The 20,716-nt window shown below is 42.6% G+C and overlaps 3 long non-coding RNA genes across 3 annotated transcripts in view, besides 5 other annotated features; 1 reads left to right on the top strand and 2 right to left on the bottom strand.

The window, feature by feature from the left end:
- Positions 1–19,612, bottom strand: part of LOC124902538 (uncharacterized) — a 51,559-nt gene extending 31,947 nt beyond the window's left edge. Inside the window, exon 1 of the long non-coding RNA XR_007062362.1 lies at positions 16,557–19,612. This is a non-coding gene — a long non-coding RNA (uncharacterized LOC124902538). The remainder of the gene's footprint in view (positions 1–16,556) is intronic.
- The window catches only part of LOC105376360 (uncharacterized), a 432,070-nt gene that overhangs the window by 281,519 nt on the left and 129,835 nt on the right, over positions 1–20,716 (bottom strand). The gene's annotated exons all lie outside the window — the stretch shown is intronic.
- LINC02669 (long intergenic non-protein coding RNA 2669) overlaps positions 1–20,716 on the top strand; it is a 69,327-nt gene that overhangs the window by 33,593 nt on the left and 15,018 nt on the right. The window lies entirely within an intron of this gene.
- Positions 739–1,938: an enhancer, noted in NCBI's record as "P300/CBP strongly-dependent group 1 enhancer chr10:3509500-3510699 (GRCh37/hg19 assembly coordinates)". NCBI's record gives its function as "activates an origin of replication core promoter dependent on BRD2, BRD4, P300/CBP, MED14 and CDK7 cofactors, with strong dependence on P300/CBP, by STARR-seq in HCT116 cells {active_cell/tissue: HCT116}" and the evidence as "EXISTENCE:reporter gene assay evidence [ECO:0000049][PMID:35650434]".
- Positions 10,975–11,516: an enhancer, noted in NCBI's record as "H3K27ac hESC enhancer chr10:3499922-3500463 (GRCh37/hg19 assembly coordinates)". NCBI's record gives its function as "activates a minimal SCP1, AML or CMV promoter by ChIP-STARR-seq in primed H9 embryonic stem cells {active_cell/tissue: H9 hESC(primed)}" and the evidence as "EXISTENCE:reporter gene assay evidence [ECO:0000049][PMID:30033119]".
- Positions 11,517–12,059: an enhancer, noted in NCBI's record as "H3K27ac hESC enhancer chr10:3499379-3499921 (GRCh37/hg19 assembly coordinates)". NCBI's record gives its function as "activates a minimal SCP1, AML or CMV promoter by ChIP-STARR-seq in primed H9 embryonic stem cells {active_cell/tissue: H9 hESC(primed)}" and the evidence as "EXISTENCE:reporter gene assay evidence [ECO:0000049][PMID:30033119]".
- Positions 12,603–13,146: an enhancer, noted in NCBI's record as "H3K27ac hESC enhancer chr10:3498292-3498835 (GRCh37/hg19 assembly coordinates)". NCBI's record gives its function as "activates a minimal SCP1, AML or CMV promoter by ChIP-STARR-seq in primed H9 embryonic stem cells {active_cell/tissue: H9 hESC(primed)}" and the evidence as "EXISTENCE:reporter gene assay evidence [ECO:0000049][PMID:30033119]".
- Positions 16,347–16,984: an enhancer, noted in NCBI's record as "OCT4-NANOG hESC enhancer chr10:3494454-3495091 (GRCh37/hg19 assembly coordinates)". NCBI's record gives its function as "activates a minimal SCP1, AML or CMV promoter by ChIP-STARR-seq in naive H9 embryonic stem cells {active_cell/tissue: H9 hESC(naive)}" and the evidence as "EXISTENCE:reporter gene assay evidence [ECO:0000049][PMID:30033119]".

Below are 20,716 nucleotides of genomic sequence, written 5' to 3'. Positions count from 1 at the left end.
AAGATTCTCCTATGAAAAGAAACTGTGTCAAAAACACCAAAGGACTAATCCACGCACTGTGTAACTTTCATTCCCCCTGCTTGAGTCTCTGCTGAAGACCGGTTTTAACTGTTAGAGGCCTGAAACCCAATCCTGTTATAAATCAAGAAGCCAAATTCCCTTTGGGCTTACATCAGAGCAAACAAATCAGTGCCTCCTCTAATACTAAAGATTAGGTCACAGGCCAGAGGAAACCTAACCTGCTTTGTGGGTTTAGAGCTGCAAGAGCTGTACAAAAAGAAAGAAAGAAAGAAAGAAAGAGGAGAGAGAGAGAGAGAGAGGGAGAAAGAAAGAAAGAAAGAAAGAGAGAGAGAGAGAGAAAGAAAGAAAGAAAGAAAGAAAGAAAGAAAGAAAGAAAGAAAGAAAGAAAGAAAGAAAAAAAGCTCTTGGCCTAACCCTTAACCAAATGTGAAGTGCGTGTCATAGGTGGATGGAATGTCATTCTGCTCCTTGAAATCATCATTTTTAGCAACAGATTCATATCACAGTCACTTTTCCATGATGGCATCTCCACATTATTTTGACCCTTAATAACCATCCCAGGCACCAAAAGCAATCATCAGGTTCTATCACAAGCACTTTTCTGATACCTTAAAAATTTTCAGAGTCTGGGGCTGGTAATTTCTCTTTATGTCCCTGTAAACCCCAAATCAATCTCGACTTCCCTGCCCTTTCATCCAACTGATGCTGAGAACTTTCTCCCCAAAGAAAGAAAAGCCAGGCATTCAGAGTCAGATGTGGTGTGGACTGTTTCTGGTTAGATGACTCAGCCCATTTTTGTGGATTTCCCAAGATGCTTTCTGAAATTCTGTTGAAAAATATCTTGTGTGATCTGGTAACAAATTAAACAAAAGACAAACCACCAAATGCTTGCCTGTTTGAAAAGGCCAACCACAAAATACTCCGATTCACGGTGACCTATCGTGGGGGAGAAGCAGCTCTGGATCATCAGATAAATTCTAACTTCCACAAACCCCGGCTCCCTGGACTCCTTTCTGAGGCTTCATGAAAGATAGAGGGGGGTTTCACATAACTGCATTTCAAATAACTCTAAGGCTCATGACACCAAGATACTTTTTAAGGTTTTAGAAAACTTGCCCTCCTCTGCTGACCATGCCAAGATGCACTGGTGGCTTTGGTTTGCCTTATTTTGCCATCTTCAGTTTTAAAAGTATTGAGAGACAGAGGATGCTTGTTTGTTTTCATTTTGTTTTAATTCCAGAAGCTAAGTAATCACTTAATATATATTTTCTTTGACAATTAACAAAAGTGATTCATACTTTTTGTGGAAGTCTATTTTCTTTCCAGCAGCACACGCCCACATTTCTTTGGTGACTTACAGAGCAGAACAATAAGCACCGAATCTGTTTTTCACCAACCAGGATTCCTCGCCAGGCTTTTCCCAGCATACTCACGCAGATGGAATTTCTGGCTCACGCTTCGTCCTTTTGCTGTTGTTGTTGTGTTTGTTGAGGTTGTTGTTAGGTGTTTTCCTCTGAACTGAAAAAGGGATATATCTATGCTCTCCCTGATCTCTCGGGAAGCTGACAAAACAAAGAAGCGTACGTGCCCAGCACACACAGCCCCGCCCAACCCTGTGGTGTAGTTTGTCCTGCCCAAACACATGAACCACAAAGTGCGCTCATTCACAAACACACAACTTCCTTTCCTGAACAACAGCGCCTCCCGCTCCCGCTGGAAAGGGTGTCCCCAGCTGTCTGGGAGATGTCCTGCCCCGCCGCACGGGGGTGGAATTTGCAGTTTTGCAGAGGAGTCACCAAGACGAGGCAATTTGCTTGCTCTTGGTAAAGTTGTTTTGTTGTTGTTGCCGTTGATTCTATTTCTCTTTCTGGAACTGAAATGTTGGCCTTTGGAGAATTCCTGCGCTATAAGGAGTACACAGACTTGGGAAAACTTAGCACACCAAGAGAAGGAGTGGCACTATGTGTTTTGCCAAAACCCATCTGAAATTTCCTGTTTTCCACGTTTGGGATGTAACGTTAACTTTTAGGGTCAGAGTTGCTCTCTCCCGGGGAAGTTGCAACTTTTTATTCCTGACTTCTTCAAGGGCTTGTGAAAGATCTCCAATGTGCTTCTACAAAAGATACAAATGCCTTTTTAAGAAAACCCTCTGTGAGCTGCACTCATTGGATCTGAAACCAGATGCATTCAATTTGCCTTTAAGTCTTCACCAGCTCATCCTCAAGGTAAACAAAGAAAACTCAAGCAAGTGTACAAAGAATTTTATTTTGCCCTTGAAGATAGTAAAACAACTTCAGACATTGAATAGTCTGTGAACAATCAAAAAAGTTACACTAACATCTAATATTTAAAATGGCTTCAGTCAGTAAGAACCTAAATGTCATAATTTTCATTCTATATAGACTTTATTAATGACTGTTAGAGTATACAATGTGTGTGTATATTTATATACATACACTGAATGTTAGAATATATAATGTGTGTGTGTGTATATATATATATATACACTGAATGTTAGAATATATAATATACACACACATTATATATTCTAACATTCATTAATAAAGTCTATATCTATTAATGGCATTATATATATTAAAGACCTAATATATAATGATACTTTTATTGCCAAAAGGGAAAACTGCAAAAAAATAGATATTTTTACATTTTTAAGAACAAAGTCGAGGTCAGGCACGGTGGCTCACGCCTGTAGCTGGTGGCTCACGGCCTCCAGCACTTTGGGAGGCCGAGGCAGGCAGATCATGACGTCAGGAGATCGAGACCATCCTGGCTAACACGGTGAAACCCCGTCTTTACTAAAAATACAAAAAATTAGCTAAGCATGGTGGTGGGCGCCTGTAGTCCCAGCTACTCGGAAGGCTGAGGCAGGAGAATGGCATAAACACGGGAGGTGGAGCTTGCAGTGAGCTGAGATCAGGCCACTGCATTCCAGCCTGGGCAACGGAGCGAGACTCCGTCTCACAAAAAAAAAAAAAAAAAAAAAAAAAAAAAAAAAAGAACAAACTCTAATGGTTCCGAAAAGATGAAAAACTCTATATTGTTAGTTGTTTCTGAATAGAGAAGTACAAATACAAGCAATGAGATAAGATTAGATTCTGTAGAAACTTCCTGAGAAGCCAGTCTCCAATCTATAATCTCCTTATTCTTTCCTTCAAATCTTAAACCAACTGAATACAGATTTTAGCTGAAATATAGCCATATACATAACACCATTTACTCTAAAAATTTCCTCCATGAAACTTAAAGTTGAAAATAGAAACACTGCCCACGTTCCCTGAAAAATCACCCTATAATTATTCCGGAAAATGCTCAGATGGGTCCTACGTGGTGTAAAGCAGAGGAAAGCTCTGACCACTTGGTGACCTGGCTGCCTCCGGCATGTGCCACGTGCATGAAAACAGGAGGGAGGCACGCACTCTGTGATGGTGCCATGGCTGGGGCCTGAGCCGCCCCGTTCCTATCCTGTCACCCCCATCTCCCGCGCAGGCTTCTAGCTGTGAGCAGTGGTTCTAGGCACCCCTGTTTATATTCACTCATGTTCCTGCAGGTGAGCTTTCATTCCTGAAGTTTGTGTAATGCTGAAGTTACAGTTTTACAAGCAACGTTGAAAACGGCTTCCTGCTGTAACTTTCAGGAAGAGGAAGAGCTGTGTTAAGCCAAACTCTGGAGGCCAGTGACTGCATGTTTGCTTCCACAGGAGGCTGGTCCGAACTGCAGCTTGTCCTCACAGCCAGGAGAATGTTTGTCCAGAGATCACTTTAAAAAATGCTCATCAGGTTGACAGTTATAAGACCATAATATGAGGACTTCACCCTGCTGATGAGGGAGACTCAGAGAATGAGAAAAGTACAGCTTTGGTAACTTTTGAATGAGTTCCATACTTGTCATAAACACAGACCAACCCAAGTAAACTCCAGAGTTCAACTGTGACACGCTCTTCAGCCTGCACCAGAAAAGGCAGCGCAGTTAGGCTAATCCCAGGCTAGCACAGAGAAGTTGGGAAGAGTGTTCATCTCGCTCAGTCAGAATTCACACACAGAAAGGGGAGTGGGTGGTTACCAGGCTTAATATGTTCAATAAGGCTTTTTCTCCAGCAAGACGTGGAAATCCTTTTATAACCTGTTTTGTTCTTCCTCTAACCACTTACATTTCTATGTGTCACCCTTTCCTTCTCGATAAAATTTTGATAATCATTTGTCCTAACAAAGCCCAGAGAGGCGTTGAAAGAAGCCCATGAGATTATGGTTAGGAAAGCACTTTTGAAAATGCTATGTAAACACAATGCTGTCACCACCTACTTGCGAAATTGTGGACAGGAACAACTGCCTTACACACACACACACACCTGTGAAATACCAGACTGATTTAATCCGAAAGGAAGGTTAATTCCAAACTACTGATCACTTCTGATCATTAAACACATGCAGATACGCACAGTTAAAAAGTAGTTTTTAGAAAAGGTAAAATTATCATTCTCATACACATATAAATAAATAGATGTTTAAGAATATATTTAACTCGTAGGATGTGAGGGAATTAAACAGATGTTATAACCGATTCAAAGAAAAAATCAAAATGACACATAAAATATATGCAGCAAAGGAACATTGAGATCAACTGCAAATAAGCATGAAATTGGACGGAGAGGAGGTCAATGAAACCACTATCAGCAAGTACAGAATTTGCACATCTGTCCTATAGTTTGTGTAAGCTGCCTATAATTTACAAAGAATTGCATAGGAATGCAAAATTAATGCACAGGGTTGAATTCTGATAACCCTGAAAGGTGTGCTCTAGATCATGCAGTTTTCTAGTGAAACACAAGACTCCTACACACCCAAGCATACAGACTCTTTAGATTCATGATTGGTCATGTTTTATGGGAAGACAGCCACGCTCATGTCTCAGTGGCTGCTCCATCTACACAACACCAGTGAGCAGTTACCGTGGAGACCACCCGGCCTCCAGAGCATTTACTTTTTGGCTCCTTACAGATAAAGTTTGCCGACCCCTATTTCTATCAATATATGGCATTGCAAACCATATTTAGTTAGTTATGCATTTATTTCCTAATTAATGAGTGCCCAGTGGGTGCACTGGCATCTCCCCCTTAATGGAATTCTTCTTAGCCATGGACATTTGTAAGCTAAGACTTAGGATCATCACTAAACATAAAACGATACACAAACCAAGTGGCTACCAACTTTTTAAATTATTATTTTGAGTTTTGTTAAATGTCTTATTTTTAATACACTAGCAAACAAAGATAGTGCTGTCTGAACAATGAAGATGCCCATCCAACTGTCTAATCTAGACCCTGAATACTGAAAAGGCTCTCTCCCTGACCTGACCTTGGTCAACCTCCCCTAAGCTGTCTTTCAAGGCCTGTCCTTGGGCCTATTTCTTAAGAACAAGAATCTTGTTCAAGTCAGTTCAATGAGAGTCCCCTACCCTTGATTCCAATCACTCTTCGTAGCTGATCACAACCCTCACTCCTCAGCATCCCTCAGTTGACATCTGCCCACATTGAACTGCCTTCAACAAGACTCCTGTCCAGCCCATTTATCCAGAATTTTTTCCCCCGATGTTCCCTCTTAGTAATTTTCCATTCACTGACCCCCGACCCTGCTCCAAGGCTGTAAATTCTCACTTTTCATTTTTGTATTTGAAGTTGAACCCAATGTGTCTTTCCTAGTCATTGCAGTAGTCCCGTTGAATAAGATCTTCCATGCCATCTTAAGGGTCAGCAGAACCTTTTCTTTAACAGTAGGCATATCTAGGCAAGTCATCAATCTTAGGATGGCATAACTTATATATCCCCAAGCATATGGAAGGTATGTGAGTAACTTAGCATTTCTGTTCCCTTTACCCTCTTGTATTTTTTATTTTAATTTACTTTACATTCTGCTATAAAAAAAACAAGGATTCTGAAATCTCTAATAAAACACATTATCTAGATTATGAAGGACTAAATGAAGATGCTGGGTGGCTGGGAGACTGGGCCCCATACCTCCAGGATCACTCCTAACCAGTGCATCTTATATATATAAGTTACAGCAGGCGGGTTCCTACAATGAGCAGACCCAAAAATGCATGGTAGCTTAAACACAAAAAAGTAACATAACAGAATTATGTAAGTGAATAAATTACTGAATGATCAACATCTACACAAAGACCCTGCAATCTTCCCCATTTACCTTCTAAGTTCACCCTATAATCATCTAAAGAATATGGAGAAGAGGTTCATGGAAAGTCCTGCTGGATCCAGTTTGGAAGTAACTCACTTCCCTTCTGCTTTCATTCATTACCAAAACTTGCTGGTGTGGATGCTTCTGACAGCAAGGCAGGCTGGAAAATGTAGTCTCTACCTGCAGCAATTTCCTAATATGGGAAGCATAATATAGGCAAGTCCTCCTGGCCTCTAGACTCAGTATTAACTTATTGATTAAAGCTTGAGATTTCTGCAACAACACAAACTCTCTTATTCTATAAACTAGCCATGCTGATTTTAAAATACAAACATGCCTAAAGACAGAAATAATGATAGGAAAGTCATCCTCATTATGGTGCAAGTAGCTTATTGTAGCTACATATTGTGATGTGGTACGGTGTTGGGAGACCATTGTTCATGGGTCTCTTGGGTTTCCTATTGTACCTACAGGTTGTGATGTGGTATGGTGTCTCCTGGGTTTCTTATTGTACCTACAAGTTGCGATGTGCTACGGTGTTGGGAGACCATTGTTCGTGGTCTCTTGGGTTTCTTATTGTACCTACAAGTTGTGATGTGATATGGTGTTGTGAGACCATTGTTCATGGGTCTCTTGGGTTTCTTATTGTAGCTATAAGTTACGATGTGGTACAGTGTTGGGAGACCATTGTTCATGGGCCTCTTGGGTTTCCTATTGTACCTACAGGTTGTGATGTGGTACAGTGTTGGGAGACCATTGTTCATGGGCCTCTTGGGTTTCCTATTGTACCTACAGGTTGTGATGTGGTACAGTGGAGCCCATTGTCCATGGGTCTCTTGGGTTTCTGCCTGTCCTGTGAGCAGAGGCACAGGTTACCTTTGCTTTGGACAATCTTCTCAAGGAAGTTTGTAGAGTGAACAACTTGGGTGACAATGATCATGTCTCCTTCAGAGAAAAGGACCAATCCACTTGCAGCCTGGGAATATGGATCCTGCCTCCCCCTAGAGGATCATGCCATAAAAGATCTGGGACCCATCATCTTTGGTTTCCACCCTTGTGATGTAGCCCAGTGTGTATGCAAGTATCACTTGGCTCTTTGTGCTGCCTTGTGGGAACTGAGTTTTGGGAACCAGCATAATAGAAATGATATCTAGACAACTGTAATTGCTGTGATAATAAATTGTCCTTTACCTGCAACCTGGGAACCTCACATCCTCTACCAGAAACCATGAAATGGCATCAGGCTAACCAAGTTAGTGTACAAGTGGGGCAAAGTCTCAGCTCCTTCACAGATCTTGACAAGAATTAATGTCATATAATTAAAAAAAAAAACAGAGGAGGTATGTGCTTTCATCTTCACCTAGAGCCAGACTTGTCATGCACCATCTGTAGAATAAAGGTACCGATGCCTCAAGTCTTGTTTAAGACCCTAGATCCATAAGCTCATAGAAGCAAAAGATGTTGCAAGCATGTTTCTTGCTATATATTCTTGCTTTGGAGGCAGCTAATTGTAGAATACTCATTTAGACAAATTCTATTATTTTCATCTTTATATTCCTTTATTATACTGTTTATGTGTATTAGCTATACATATTAGTCCAGATGATTCTTTAGAAGTTAATGACACTGTCCTAACCATGATGCATCTTAATAGGCATATTTAAGAATATATAAAAATACATAAGACCCCCTCACTCCAGAAAGAAGCAAATAACAAACCAAAATATATCATCACACACCATGAATGTTCAGCCTTCTCTGAGGTGTGGGAACAAGATTTTAAACCAGGTTCTACATCCTGATTGTATCAGATGTTGATGAGATTACATCACAACAAGGATCTTGCTATGAATTTTTAAGGTGAAAATATATAACCTTAGAGTTGAAAAAAATCAAAAAGCTAATGTTGCCATTTTGGGTACAACAAAGAGTATCTCAACAAGGTGACTTTATGAAAACTCATGGGCTTCTAGTGATGAAATCAGTTGGTTTAGAGTAATAAAAGTAAATAATGGTTTCTGCGTGTCTTGAGGATTCAGTTAGTTAAATGGAATCCCTGCTGGGCTGGCTTCCCTGAGAATCTACTTGGTACATGTAAAGACGAGAAAGGTCATTTTTCCATAAGCAATTTCATTGTTTGGACTTTAATCTGAAGCAAATTATCCTTCTTCAATAAAAGTGAAGTGGTGTAATCATGCACGGTACTTTCAAATTCAGAAATGTAATATTATGCCAGAATATTAAAATCACATTCAACTCATGTCTCTGGGTATATTTGATCATAATAGGGCCCTTTCCAGTTTATGTAATCACTGGATACAACAACAGTTAACTTATCATCAGCTAAGTAAGCAGAGCCAGGGCCTGAGTGTTTGTGAATCTGAAGCTATTACCTGTGAATAACCAAGACGTCATCATATACCTCCCTTTCAGTGAACATTTCTTTATTCTCTCCGGAAATAATGAGTATGTGCTACAACAGATTTCTATCAATGTCCAATAGAATGGGAAATTAGAACCGGAAGAGCATTGTTGAAGTTTTCTAAGTCTCCTGCCTAATTTTTATGAAACCTAATGCAGTATCTCCACTTGATCAGATAGTCTATCACCATGAAGTAGAAGATACTCAACACCTCTGTGAAATAAATACTACAATCACCCCATGTGATGAAGGGCAACTGGGAAACCGAAGGATTTTTGAATGTCAGAAATGAGGTACACATCCAAGTGTTTCTGACTCCTGGGTCAAGCTGGGATCAGGGCAGGGAAGAGGAGGAGACAGCTCTAGGAAAGTGAGGATGCATCATCTGATAAGACGCCAGAAGAAATGACAAGAGCATAGGAAAATCTTTTCCCATTTTTCATGTGTCGGGAATTTAAACACGTCGCCATTTGATTTCTCTGTAATAGATCCCTCCTATTCGTCCATTAAAAATTACCATGTGTGGGCTGGGCACAGTGACTCACACCAATCCCAGCACTTTGGGAGGCTGAGGTGGGAGGATCGCTGAGCCCAGGAGTTTGAGACCAGTCTAGGCCACATAGTGAGATCCCCATGTCTACAAAAAAGAAAAGAAAAGAAAATATGATCAAGTGCTAAGAGAAGGAGCTATTTGGTCTCTGGGGATGTTTCTGGTCTATGTACAGGCCGCAAGGTCCTCATTCAGGGCATTCTTTGAGCATTTCTATAGAGGGAAGAGTAACAAACAAGTTGGCATGGACATGAACTTTTTTTTTTTTTTGAAACAGAGCCTTGCTGTGTTGCCCAGGCTGGAGTGCAGTGACACAATCTAAGCTCCCTGCAACCTCTGCCTCCTGGGTTCAAGGGATTCTCATGTCTTAGACTCTGTCTGAGTAGCTGGGACTACAGGGACGTGTCACCACATCCAGCTAATTTTTTTTTTTTTATTTTTAGTGGAGATGGGTTTTCAGCAAGTTGGCCAGGCTAATCTTGAACTTCTGGCCTCAAGTGACGTGCCTGCCTCTGCCTCTTAAAGTACTGGGATTACAAGTGTGAATTCTTTTCTTTTTTTTTTTGAGATGGAGTCTCACTCTGTTACCCAGGCTGGAGTGAAGTGGTGTGATCTTGGCTCACTGCAAGCTCCGCCTCCTGGGTTCACGCCATTCTCCTGCCTCAGCCTCCCGAGTACCTGGGACTACAGGTGCTCGCCACCATGCCCAGCTAATTTTTTTTTGGATTTTTAGTAGAGACGGGGTTTCACCATGTCAGCGAGGATGGTCTTGATCTCCTGTCCTCGCGATCCACCTGCCTTGGCCTCCCAAAGTGCTGGGATTACAGGCGTGAGCCACCGCGCCAGGCACAAGTGTGAATTTTGACATAAATCAGATGGGAATAGTAGAGGTGGTTCTGTCTGGAAGTTAGGTCAAGGGAGGACAGTTTCCTCAGCATGCAGGCCAGCTGGAAGCCAAATGTCCACAGGAGTGCAGGATGGAGCAGAGAAAGCCACAGGAAGGGCTGTCAACCCCCAGATGGGTGCAGGTAACCCTGTCCAGATGGGTGCCGGTTCAGCCAGAAAAGATCATGACTATCCCAGTTTGTGAGCGCATGAGTATTGAAGTGTGGATGCATGCATATCTCAGTATGCGAGAGCATGAGTACCCCAGCGGTAATGCGTGTGTATTTCAGTGGGCGAGAGCATGAGTACCCCAGCATGAATGCGTGCGTATCTCAGTGTGTGAGAGCGTGAGTACCCCAGAATGAATGCGTGCATATCTCAGTGTGTGATAGCGTGAGTACCCCAGCGGGAATGCGTGCATATCTTAGTGTGCGAGAGCATGAGTACCCCAGCGGGAATGCGTGTGTATTTCAGTGTGCGAGACCATGAGTACCCCAGCATGAATGCGTGCGTATCTCAGTGTGTGAGAGCGTGGGTACCCCAGCATGAATGCGTGCGTATCTCAGTGTTTGAGAGCATGAGTACCCCAGCGGGAATGTGTGCATATCTCAGTGTGTGAGAGCGTGGGTACCCCAGCGGGAATGCGTGCGTATCTCAGTGTGTGAGAGCATGGGTACCCCAGTATGAATGCGTGCATATCTCAGTGTTTGAGAGCATGAGTACCCCAGCGGGAATGTGTGCATATCTCAGTGTGTGAGAGTGTGAGTACCCCAGCGGGAATGCGTGCGTATCTCAGTGTGTGAGAGCGTGAGTACCCCAGCATGAATGCGTGCGTATCTCAGTGTGTGAGAGCGTGAGTATCCCAGCGGGAAAGCGTGCGTATCTCAGTGTGTGAGAGCGTCAGTACCCCAGCATGAATGCGTGCGTATCTCACTGTGTGAGATCGTGAGTACCCCAATGGGAATGCGTGCGTATCTCAGTGTGTGAGAGCGTGAGTACCCCAGAGGGAATGCGTGCGTACCTCAGTGTGTGAGAGCGTGGGTACCCCAGCATGAATGCGTGCATATCTCAATGTGTGACAGCGTGGGTACCCCAGCATGAATGCGTGCATATCTCAGTGTGTGAGAGCGTGGGTACCCCAGCATGAATGTGTGCAGATCTCAGTGTGTGACAGCGTGGGTACCCCAGCATGAATGTGTGCATATCTCAGTGTGTGAGAGCGTCGGTACCCCAGCATGAATGCGTGCAGATCTCAGTGTGTGACAGCGTGGGTACCCTAGCATGAATGCGTGCATATCTCAGTGTGTGAGAGCGTGAGTACCCCAGCGGGAATGCGTGCATAACAGTGTGTGGGAGCGTCAGTATCCCAGCATGAATGTGGGCGTATCTCAGTGTGTGAGAGCGTGGGTACCCCAGCATGAATGCATGCATATCTCAGTGTGTGAGAGCGTGGGTACCCCAGCATGAACGCGTGCGTATCTCAGTGTGTGAGAGCGTCAGTACCCCAGCGGGAATGTGTGCGTATCTCAGTTTGTGAGAGCGTGCGTACCCCAGCGGGAATGCATGCGTATCTCAGTGTGTGAGAGCGTGGGTACCCCAGCATGAATGCGTGCGTATCTCAGTGTGTGAGAGCGTCAGTATCCCAGCGGGAATGCGTGCGTATCTCAGTGTGTGAGAGCGTGGGTACCCCAGCATGAATGCGTGCATATCTCAGTGTGTGAGAGCATCAGTACCCCAGCGGGAATGCGTGCGTATCTCAGTGTGTGAGAGCGTGAGTACCCCAGCATGTATGCGTGCATATCTCAGTGTGTGAGAGCATGAGTACCCCAGCGGGAATGCGTGCGTATCTCAGTGTGTGAGAGCGTTGGTACCCCAGCATGAATGCGTGCGTATCTCAGTGTGTGAGAGCATGAGTACCCCAGCGGGAATGCGTGCATATCTTACTGTGTGAGAGCGTGAGTACCCCAGCATGAATGCGTGCGTATCTCAGTGTGTGAGAGCGTGGGTACCCCAGCATGAATGCGTGCGTATCTCAGTGTGTGAGAGCGTGAGTACCCCAGCATGAATGCATGCGTATCTCAGTGTGTGACAGCGTGGGTACCCCAGCATGAATGTGTGCATATCTCAGTGTGTGAGAGCGTGAGTACCCCAGCGGGAATGCGTGCATAACTCAGTGTGTGAGAGCGTCAGTACCCCAGCATGAATGCGTGCGTATCTCACTGTGTGAGAGCGTGAGTACCCCAGTGGGAATGCGTGCGTATCTCAGTGTGTGAGAGCGTGAGTACCCCAGAGGGAATGGGTGCGTATCTCAGTGTGTGAGAGTGTGGGTACCCCAGCAGGAATGCGTGCATATCTCAATGTGTGACAGTGTGGGTACCCCAGCATGAATGCGTGCATATCTCAGTGTGTGAGAGCGTGAGGACCCCAGCGGGAATGCGTGCGTATCTCAGTGTGTGAGAGCGTGAGTACCCCAGCATGAATGCGTGCATATCTCAGTGTGTGAGAGTGTGAATAGCCCAGCGGGAATGCATGCGTATCTCAGTGTGTGACAGCGTGAGTACCCCAGCATGAATGCGTGCGTATCTCAGTGTGTGAGAGTGTCAGTACCCCAGTGGGAATGCATGCGTATCTCAGTGTGTGACAGCGTGAGTACCCCAGCATGGATGCGTGCGTATCTCAGTGTGTGAGAGTGTCAGTACCCCAGTGGGAATGCATGCGTATCTCAGTGTGTGAGAGTGTGAGTACCCCAGCGGGAATGCGTGCATAACTCAGTGTGTGAGAGCGTGGGTACCCCAGCGGGAATGCGTGCGTATCTCAGTGTGTGAGAGCATGAGTACCCCAGCATGGATGCGTGCGTATCTCAGTGTGTGAGAGCGTGAGTACCCCAGTGTGTGATCCCAGTGTTTGAATGCATGTGTACCCCAGTGTGGATGCATGAGTATCCCAGTGTGTGAAAGCTGGAGACATAGTGAAGCTATGTGATTCACTCTCACAAATCAAGAACCAACAACGTGTAAGGCTGGTGGGTTCAGCCCAGTAATGCACAGCATGGTTAGTGACAAAAGAGAAGGAAGACTAAGTGCACAGCTGACCAGGCCATTCAAAACAAAAGTGTGTAGAACCATGTGTGCATGTGTATATGTTTACCTGTGTGTGCATGTGTGTGTGTGTGCATGCATGTGTGTGCCTGTGTGTGTGTGTGTGTGTGGATTCTGAACCTGCCGAAATGCTTAAAGCAGACAGGATATGATGCAAGTTTCTTCAACCAAAGCTGAAAATTACATTTCTCATCTAGAGTGGAAATGAGAAGATAATTTGAAAAACATGAGCATTTTGTTAAATTAATCCAGGTAGAAGGAGGTCATCAGCTGTAATTTAATAAAACTAATTGGAAATTAACTACCAATAAATAATTTGTACCCTGAGGCTTTGAAATTTACCATAAAGCAACGTGGTACTCAGCACAGCTGCTCTGCATAGCTTGAGCGGGCCCCACAGGCAGGAAAGGGTGAGGGGAAGGAAGAGCAGGAACTGCGGCCGGAAGGCTAAATCACGTCAGGGGAAAACCTTGAGTTTGCTGGTGCAGGAAATTTTGCCTATGGGAAAATGCATACTTTCTGTCTAGAGTCATGGAGTCTCCGTGTGAGGTTGGGGTGGTGAGGATCGGGCTCAAAGATAACACAAATGCATGTGTAGCCAATTGCCAAGGGGCACGGTGAACAGGGACTTGTCCTTTCCCTGTTAGGGCTTTCAAATCTCAGAGTAACTGGTGACCTGGGGAATGTGGGTGTGTGGAACCTTCCCCACCCCACCGGACCGCATTTCCCAGTAACAGGATGGATGCCATCCATTCGACTTTGCACCATCTCCAGGTCTCCAAAGACCCACGTATGACGGAAAGAAACATTTGCCAACATGAGGCCTGCCTTAGCCACCAGCAGCCACTTAGAAGACACCGTGAAATCAGGAAATGAGATTCTCAGGCTTCACAGGGTCTTTGTTAATGTTGCTTTCTTGGTTTCCTAAAATCCATTTTTTTAAATTAAAAAAAAGTCCAGCTCAGAAGTAAATGGCTTAATTTATCCTAAGACTATTTTGGAAACATACACCTTCAGACTTGCAGCTAGATCTAATTTATCCCTAGACAACGGCCTTTCTGAGGTCCCTGAATCATAAACTCCATTCTCAAACCAGTCATTGAAAAAGATACAGTATATACACTCTGCCCAAGAAATATGATTTTTTCCTGCAAGGAGACAGAAAAGAGGAAAGACACTTGAATTTGTTCAGCCTTTCCTTTGTTATTTTTATTTCAAATGAGTGGAGTGTTTTAAAAGCTTCATCTACAAAATTAGGGGGTAAAAATCACAGCTACAGAAAGCTAAAAGCATCCATCCAATGGCATCAAATATTTATGGGTGTAAACTTTGAATGAAAGATCTCAAGTCACTTTGAAATGTTTTAAGTGAATAATTAAATTTTAAAGCAACCACTGTGCCGGCGCGGTCGCTCACGCCTGTAATCTAGCACTTTGGGAGGCCGAGGCAGGCGGATTGCCTGAGCTCAGGAGTTTGAGACTAGCCTGGGCAACATGGCTAAACCCCATCTCTACTAAAAAAGTAGCTGGGCGTGGTAGCTCGCACCTGTAATCCCAGATACTCGGGAGGCTGAGGCACGAGAATCGCTTGAACCTGGGAGGCGGAGGTTGCAGTGAGCCAAGATAGTGCCACTGCACTCCAGCCTGGGCAACAGAGTGAGACTCTGTCTCAAAAAAGTAAAAATAAAATAAAATAAAACAACCGCTGGAAGGCCTGGTGCTGTGAGTGGCACCGTCGTTGCAAGGACCACACTTGGGCCTGTTTCTGCCGCTTGGTCATGAGACAGAACAGAATCCATTGGGGATGTTATGGAGAAGGACAACGTGGCTAAACTGAAGGAAGAATTTTCTCTTTTTTTCTTTTTCTTTCTTTCTTTTTTTTTTTTTTTTTTAGAGACGGAGTTTCTCTCCTATAGCCCAGGCTGGAGTGCAATGGCATGATCTCGGCTCACTGCAACCTCTGCCTCCCGGGTTCAAGAGATTCTTCCGCCTCAGCCTCCCAAGTAGCTGGGATTATGGGTGCCCGCCACCACGCCCTGCTAATTTTTGTATCTTTAATAAAGACAGGGTTTCACTATGTTGGTCAGGCTGATCTTGAACTCCTGACCTCATGACCTGCCCGCCTCGGCCTCCCAAAGTGCTGATATTACAGGCATGAGCCACCAAGCCCAGCTGAATTTTCTATTAACCCTGACTGAGCAGCAATAAATAGGCCACCAGTAATAGAGAACATCAGGTTAGCTGAATGGACAGCTGTCAGCAGCAGAAAGAAGGTTTTTAATTGAGGAGGAAGTTAAATTACATTCACTTAAAGGTTACATTCAGTTCTGATATTTTGATGCATGTTTTACAAAATATTGTATTCTACGGCAAGAGTTATTGCTCTCTACACTTTCCTTGGGAGGAATTACATCATGGTCCACTGTCCCCAAGAAAAACCCTTGAGGAGATACAGGCTTCAGAGTTCTTCTTTTCTTTTTCAATCTTCAAAATATGGTATATTCACCATATTTTTCCACAGGACCCTAAGCAGGGCTAGAGCAGTCATCTATTTGTAAAATACGTTAATACTTCTGTACTAATTGTATACATATTCAGAATAAAGGACTTAGAAAGCTTGTCATCAATATTGTATAAATCTGCTCACTTTTTGCTGCCATATGTATTTTGGTGTCAGTTCTACAAATATGACTTTGTTTTCAGACTTTTCCTGATTTTAGAATTTGCACATGAGAAATCATATCTTAGATTTTAGAATCAGCCATTACCAAGGTTTAACTCTGGCCCCATCTGCTAAAAGACATGTCCTTGAGCAAACGATTTCATCAGTTTCTCTTTAGCATGTTACGATGGGGGTTAGAAAAGGCTGAGCGGCATGTCCCTGTGTGATAGTACATTCCAAACCTATGACTGGAAATAAAAAGCGTTGTATTTTCACTGAGGTCAGAGAAAAACATCAGAGCTTACTAGAAGATGCGTGCCCTCCTTCCTAGAGTAAAAGCTCTTTGAAGTAGCATTTGTATGTTTTTGTGTTTGCAGCCAGTACTCTATACTCTAATTTTCTAAAATTAAATTGAATTACAGTGAGGAAAGAGAAATTCGGTGAAGAGATGAAAAGACTCCTGAGTCATTCTGAAGGCTTCTCTGGAAGGAAGCCCTAGAATTCACTTTTGCAGTGCTTTCAGAAGAGGATGAAATCAGCCCCTTCCAGCCTCAATCGTCCTGCCCCACAGAAGGCCTTGGGGATAATAGCCCTGAGGTCCCTTCTTTTCCTGTATTCTTAAGAATTCACAGTTCTTTTTGGAGAGGAAGATGGCAAATTAATAATAATAATGATAGTAATGTAACAATAATAATAAAACAAAGACCTACCTTAGAGTTGTCAATTAAACAGTACCAATATATAGCTCAGGTAGTTTGTGTTTGATAAGATGATTCACTTTGCACCAGGTTTGAGAATATCCTGTTGTACTTCTTTGCAAATTCTTTTCTGAAACAGGATGTTTTCATTGTCTTACAATTGCTGCTATAGAAAAGAAAGGCCCTGATTTGAAATAGGCTGGTAACCCCTACTGGGAGAAAGCAGTAGTCCCTGTGTCAAAGCCTTTCCTCAAAACGAAAGTCATGTTGCTTTTGGGATGAATTCCGGGGGCTGAAGGCCTGCTGTAGCTCCCTGTAAATCAGACTTCCTGGCTAGATTAAGCACTCAACAATGCTGAACAGACCGCAAATGTTATTGCAAGCAAAATCCTATTTTAATCTGCCCTCCTGACTCTTGGAATGTTAAATTCAACTGCAACTTGGAAAGTTCCATCCCTTTGATCTCCCATCGAAGTGGGCTTATTTTTGAAGTAAAAGCTGCTTACTTTGGGATTTGACGTCTTTAAAAGTACTTTTTTTAAGTCAAATACGTTAAGCATCCTCTCTGATTCATGAAAAGGCAGTTTTTCTTTCCCTTGGGATGCTGTATTTATATGAAGGCATGGGAGGCAGGGAAGAACAATGTGGAATGTGTGAGTTTGTAAGATGTTCACATTCCCAAAATAAATGGGATCTGCTGCTTTAAGGGTAGTAGGCAGTGTGGGTAGGTGCCCGGTGCAATTGACCTCCTTGCTAGAAAATCACAGATCATTAGCACTGGCAGTGACTCTGTTATGTTTACAACCCATTGCAAAACAGCAGTGAAAACAAAGCAGTGTGGGTGAAACACAGAATCTATCATCTATCACGCTTTGCCTAGTAAAGCTCTGTAAGTGCTGGCATCTTTGCTGAGAACCCAGACAAGCCCTCTTCTGTTTGGGCATAGGATAGTTCTGACCTAGAAATGACCACCTAGAAACAGGCAGAACCAGAACATGGTATTTAGAGGAAAGAGGAGGAGGGAGGAGGAATCGGCTTAGCAATGACCCACAAGTATTCAAAGGGTGTCCTACACAATGCTGTGTGGCACCCTTGGCCAGACTGCAGGTGCCTTCAAGCTGAAGGCTTTATCAAGATAGATGGACAGGTTCTTCAGGCCCAGTGGAGCTTTACAGGGAGGTGCAGGGAGGAAGAGAAGTTCTGAGATCCTGCTGCAACCTGCCCACCACTCTTCATTCCTGCCGATCATGGGTAGTTAGGGTATGTGACCATGCCCTCCATTCAACCTTGTAAGATTAAGCTCTTTCTCTACAATGTGACTCAACTCATAAGTGACCTTCTATGGAAATGAATTCACTTTGCAGCAGTGATTACTGTAATGACCTCTTGCTCCTCCATGGTGGCTTTCATCTGAGAAGCTTCAGCACCTTCTAAACAATAATTAGCCACACCACTATGTGGTCTTCGCAATTGAATAAATTAAGCACAATCAACCTTGAACTACCTGAATCTTAATGACTTACATGGGGCCACATAATGGCTAGTGGCACACCACGAAGAACCTGAGAACGTCCATGTCTAGTCCCTATTCTAGCCTGTGTTAAACGGTGTTATTTTAATTCTGTTTTTGAAACTATATTCTACTAACATACTTAGAAAAAGATGATTCATTGAGTTTTGTCCATCTCAAATGAGGAAAGAGAGAAACAAGGATAAACTGAAGGAAAACATAACTTGAAGAGGGGAGAAAAGAGAAGCGGGACTTATCCTCGGTGAGGTTTGGAAAGTACTGTGATTCTGCACACTTCATCTCATGACATATTTATGTTTCTAGGAATCAAGTGCTCAAAGCACCCTCATTCTAGGCCTCTGCTCTGAGTTCACACTCTAGGTGGGCCCGTTCTTCCCAAGGTGACTTCACGTGGCACTGCTCTCTCCCTTCTCCATTCCTGTAGTCCTGTCATCTTTTTAGCCTGTGTTGCTAATATTAGATGGCATACTAGGACGGAAGTTAAAGTAATTCATCCTAAGTTTGGGATTAACTTTGAATTTTTGATAAAGCCTAGCTTTTGATAGAAGGTTAGTAAATGTAAGTTGAATAAAAGGAAGAAAGGAAGGGAGGGAGGGAGAAAAGGAAGAAAGAGGGGAGAGAAGAAAGGAAAAGAAGAAGAAGTGTAGGTGAATAGAAGTATAGAGACAGAATGTTTAAGAAGCCCAGCTGGGTAAATTTGGGAATTATCCCTGAGAGGCAAGGATAGTTCATCATAGATGAATCAATAAATGCAATATACCACATGAAGAGAATGAAGGATAAAAATTACACAATCATTTCAATAGATTCAGAAAAGGCATTTGGTAACATTCAACATCGTCTCATGATGAAAACTGTCAACACATTAGGTATTGAAGGAACATACCTCAACATCAAACAAGCCATACATGGCAAGCCCACAGATAGCATCATACTCGAAGGTAAAAAGCTGAAAGCTTTTTCTCTAAGATCAGGAGCAAGACAGGGATTCCCACGTTCTCCACTTCTATTCAACATAGTGCTGGAGTCCTAGACAGAGCAATTAGGTGAGAAAAAAAAGTAAAAGGCATTCACATTAGAGAGGAAGAAGTAAAATTGTCTTTGTGTGCAGATAGCATGATCTTATATACAGAAAACCCAGAAGACTCCACCAAAAATCTGTTAGAACTGTTGAATGAAGTTAGCAAAGTTGCAAGATAGAAAATCAACATACAAAAACCAGTAGCATTCTCTACATTAAAAATGAACCACCCAAAATAGAAATTAAGAAAACAATCCTGTTGTAATAGCATCATAAAGAATAAAATACTTAGGTATAAACTTAACTGAGGTGGTAAAAGCTCTATATACTGAAAGCTAAACAACTATGATGAGAAAAATTAGATAAAAATAAATGGAAAAGTATTTCATGTTCATGGATTAGAAAAATTAATATTGTTTAATGTCCACACCACTCAAAAGGATCTACAGATTCAACACAATTCCTATCAAAATTTCAGAGGCTTTTTTTTCAAAGAAATAGAAAAAGGAATCCTAAAATTCATAAGCAATCACAAAGAATTCTAATAGCCAAAGCAATGTTGAGCAAAAAGAACAAAGATAGAGGCACTCTACCTCTTGATTTCAAATTTCATTACGTGCTATGATAATGAAGACAGGATGGTACTGGCATAAAAAAAACAGACCCACAAACCAATGAAATAGAATAGAGAGCCCAGAAATAAATGTATACATATATACAGTCAATTAATTTTTGATAGGGTGCCAAGAATACACAATGAGGAAATGATAGACTCTTCAATAAATGGTGCAGGGAGAACTGAATATCCACATATGGAAGAGTGAAATTGGATCCTTGTACCATATAGAAAAATCAACTCTAAATGGACTTAAGATTTAATCATAAGACCTGAAAGTGTAAGACTCCCAGAAGAAAACATCGGGGAAAAGTTTGTTGTCATTGATTGGTCTTGGCAGTGTTTTTCTGGATATGACACCAAAAGCACAGACAACAAATGTCAAAATAAACAAGCAAAATATACCTAACTATAAAGCTCTGCACAGTAGAAGAAACAATCTACAAAATAGAAAGGCAACCTAGAGAATGAAAAAAAAGTGTGCAAGTCATATATCTGATAAGGGATTAGCATCCAAAATATACAAATAATTTATACAAATAGCAAAAAAAAAAAATCAAATAACCTGATTATAAAAGGGATAAAAGACCTGAATAGGCATTTCTCCAAGGAAGACACACAAAAGATAAACAGGTTCATGAAAAAGTGCTCAACATCACTAATTATCAGTAAATCAAAAGCACAACGAGATATCACCTCACACCTGTGAGAATGGCTATTATTCAGAAAAAAAAAAAGATAAGAAGTGTTAGTTACTGAAGATGTAGAGAAAAAGAAACCTGTGTACATTGCTAGTGGAAATACTGGTACAGCCATTGTAGAAAACAGTCGGAGGTTTCTCAAAAAAAAGTAAGCATAGAAACATCAAATTGTCCAGCAATTGCACTTTGGGGTATATATCCAAAGGAAATAAAATTAGTATCTCTAAGAGATCTCTGAACCCTGTGTTTGTTGCAAAGTTATTCACTACAGCCACGACGTGGAAACAGCCTCAATGCTCATTG

Source organism: Homo sapiens, chromosome 10, assembly GCF_000001405.40.
Source record: "Homo sapiens chromosome 10, GRCh38.p14 Primary Assembly".
Taxonomy (NCBI): Eukaryota; Metazoa; Chordata; class Mammalia; order Primates; family Hominidae; genus Homo; species Homo sapiens.
The sequence above is the reverse complement of the archived record's forward strand: the minus strand, read 5'-3'. Positions and strand labels throughout refer to the sequence as shown.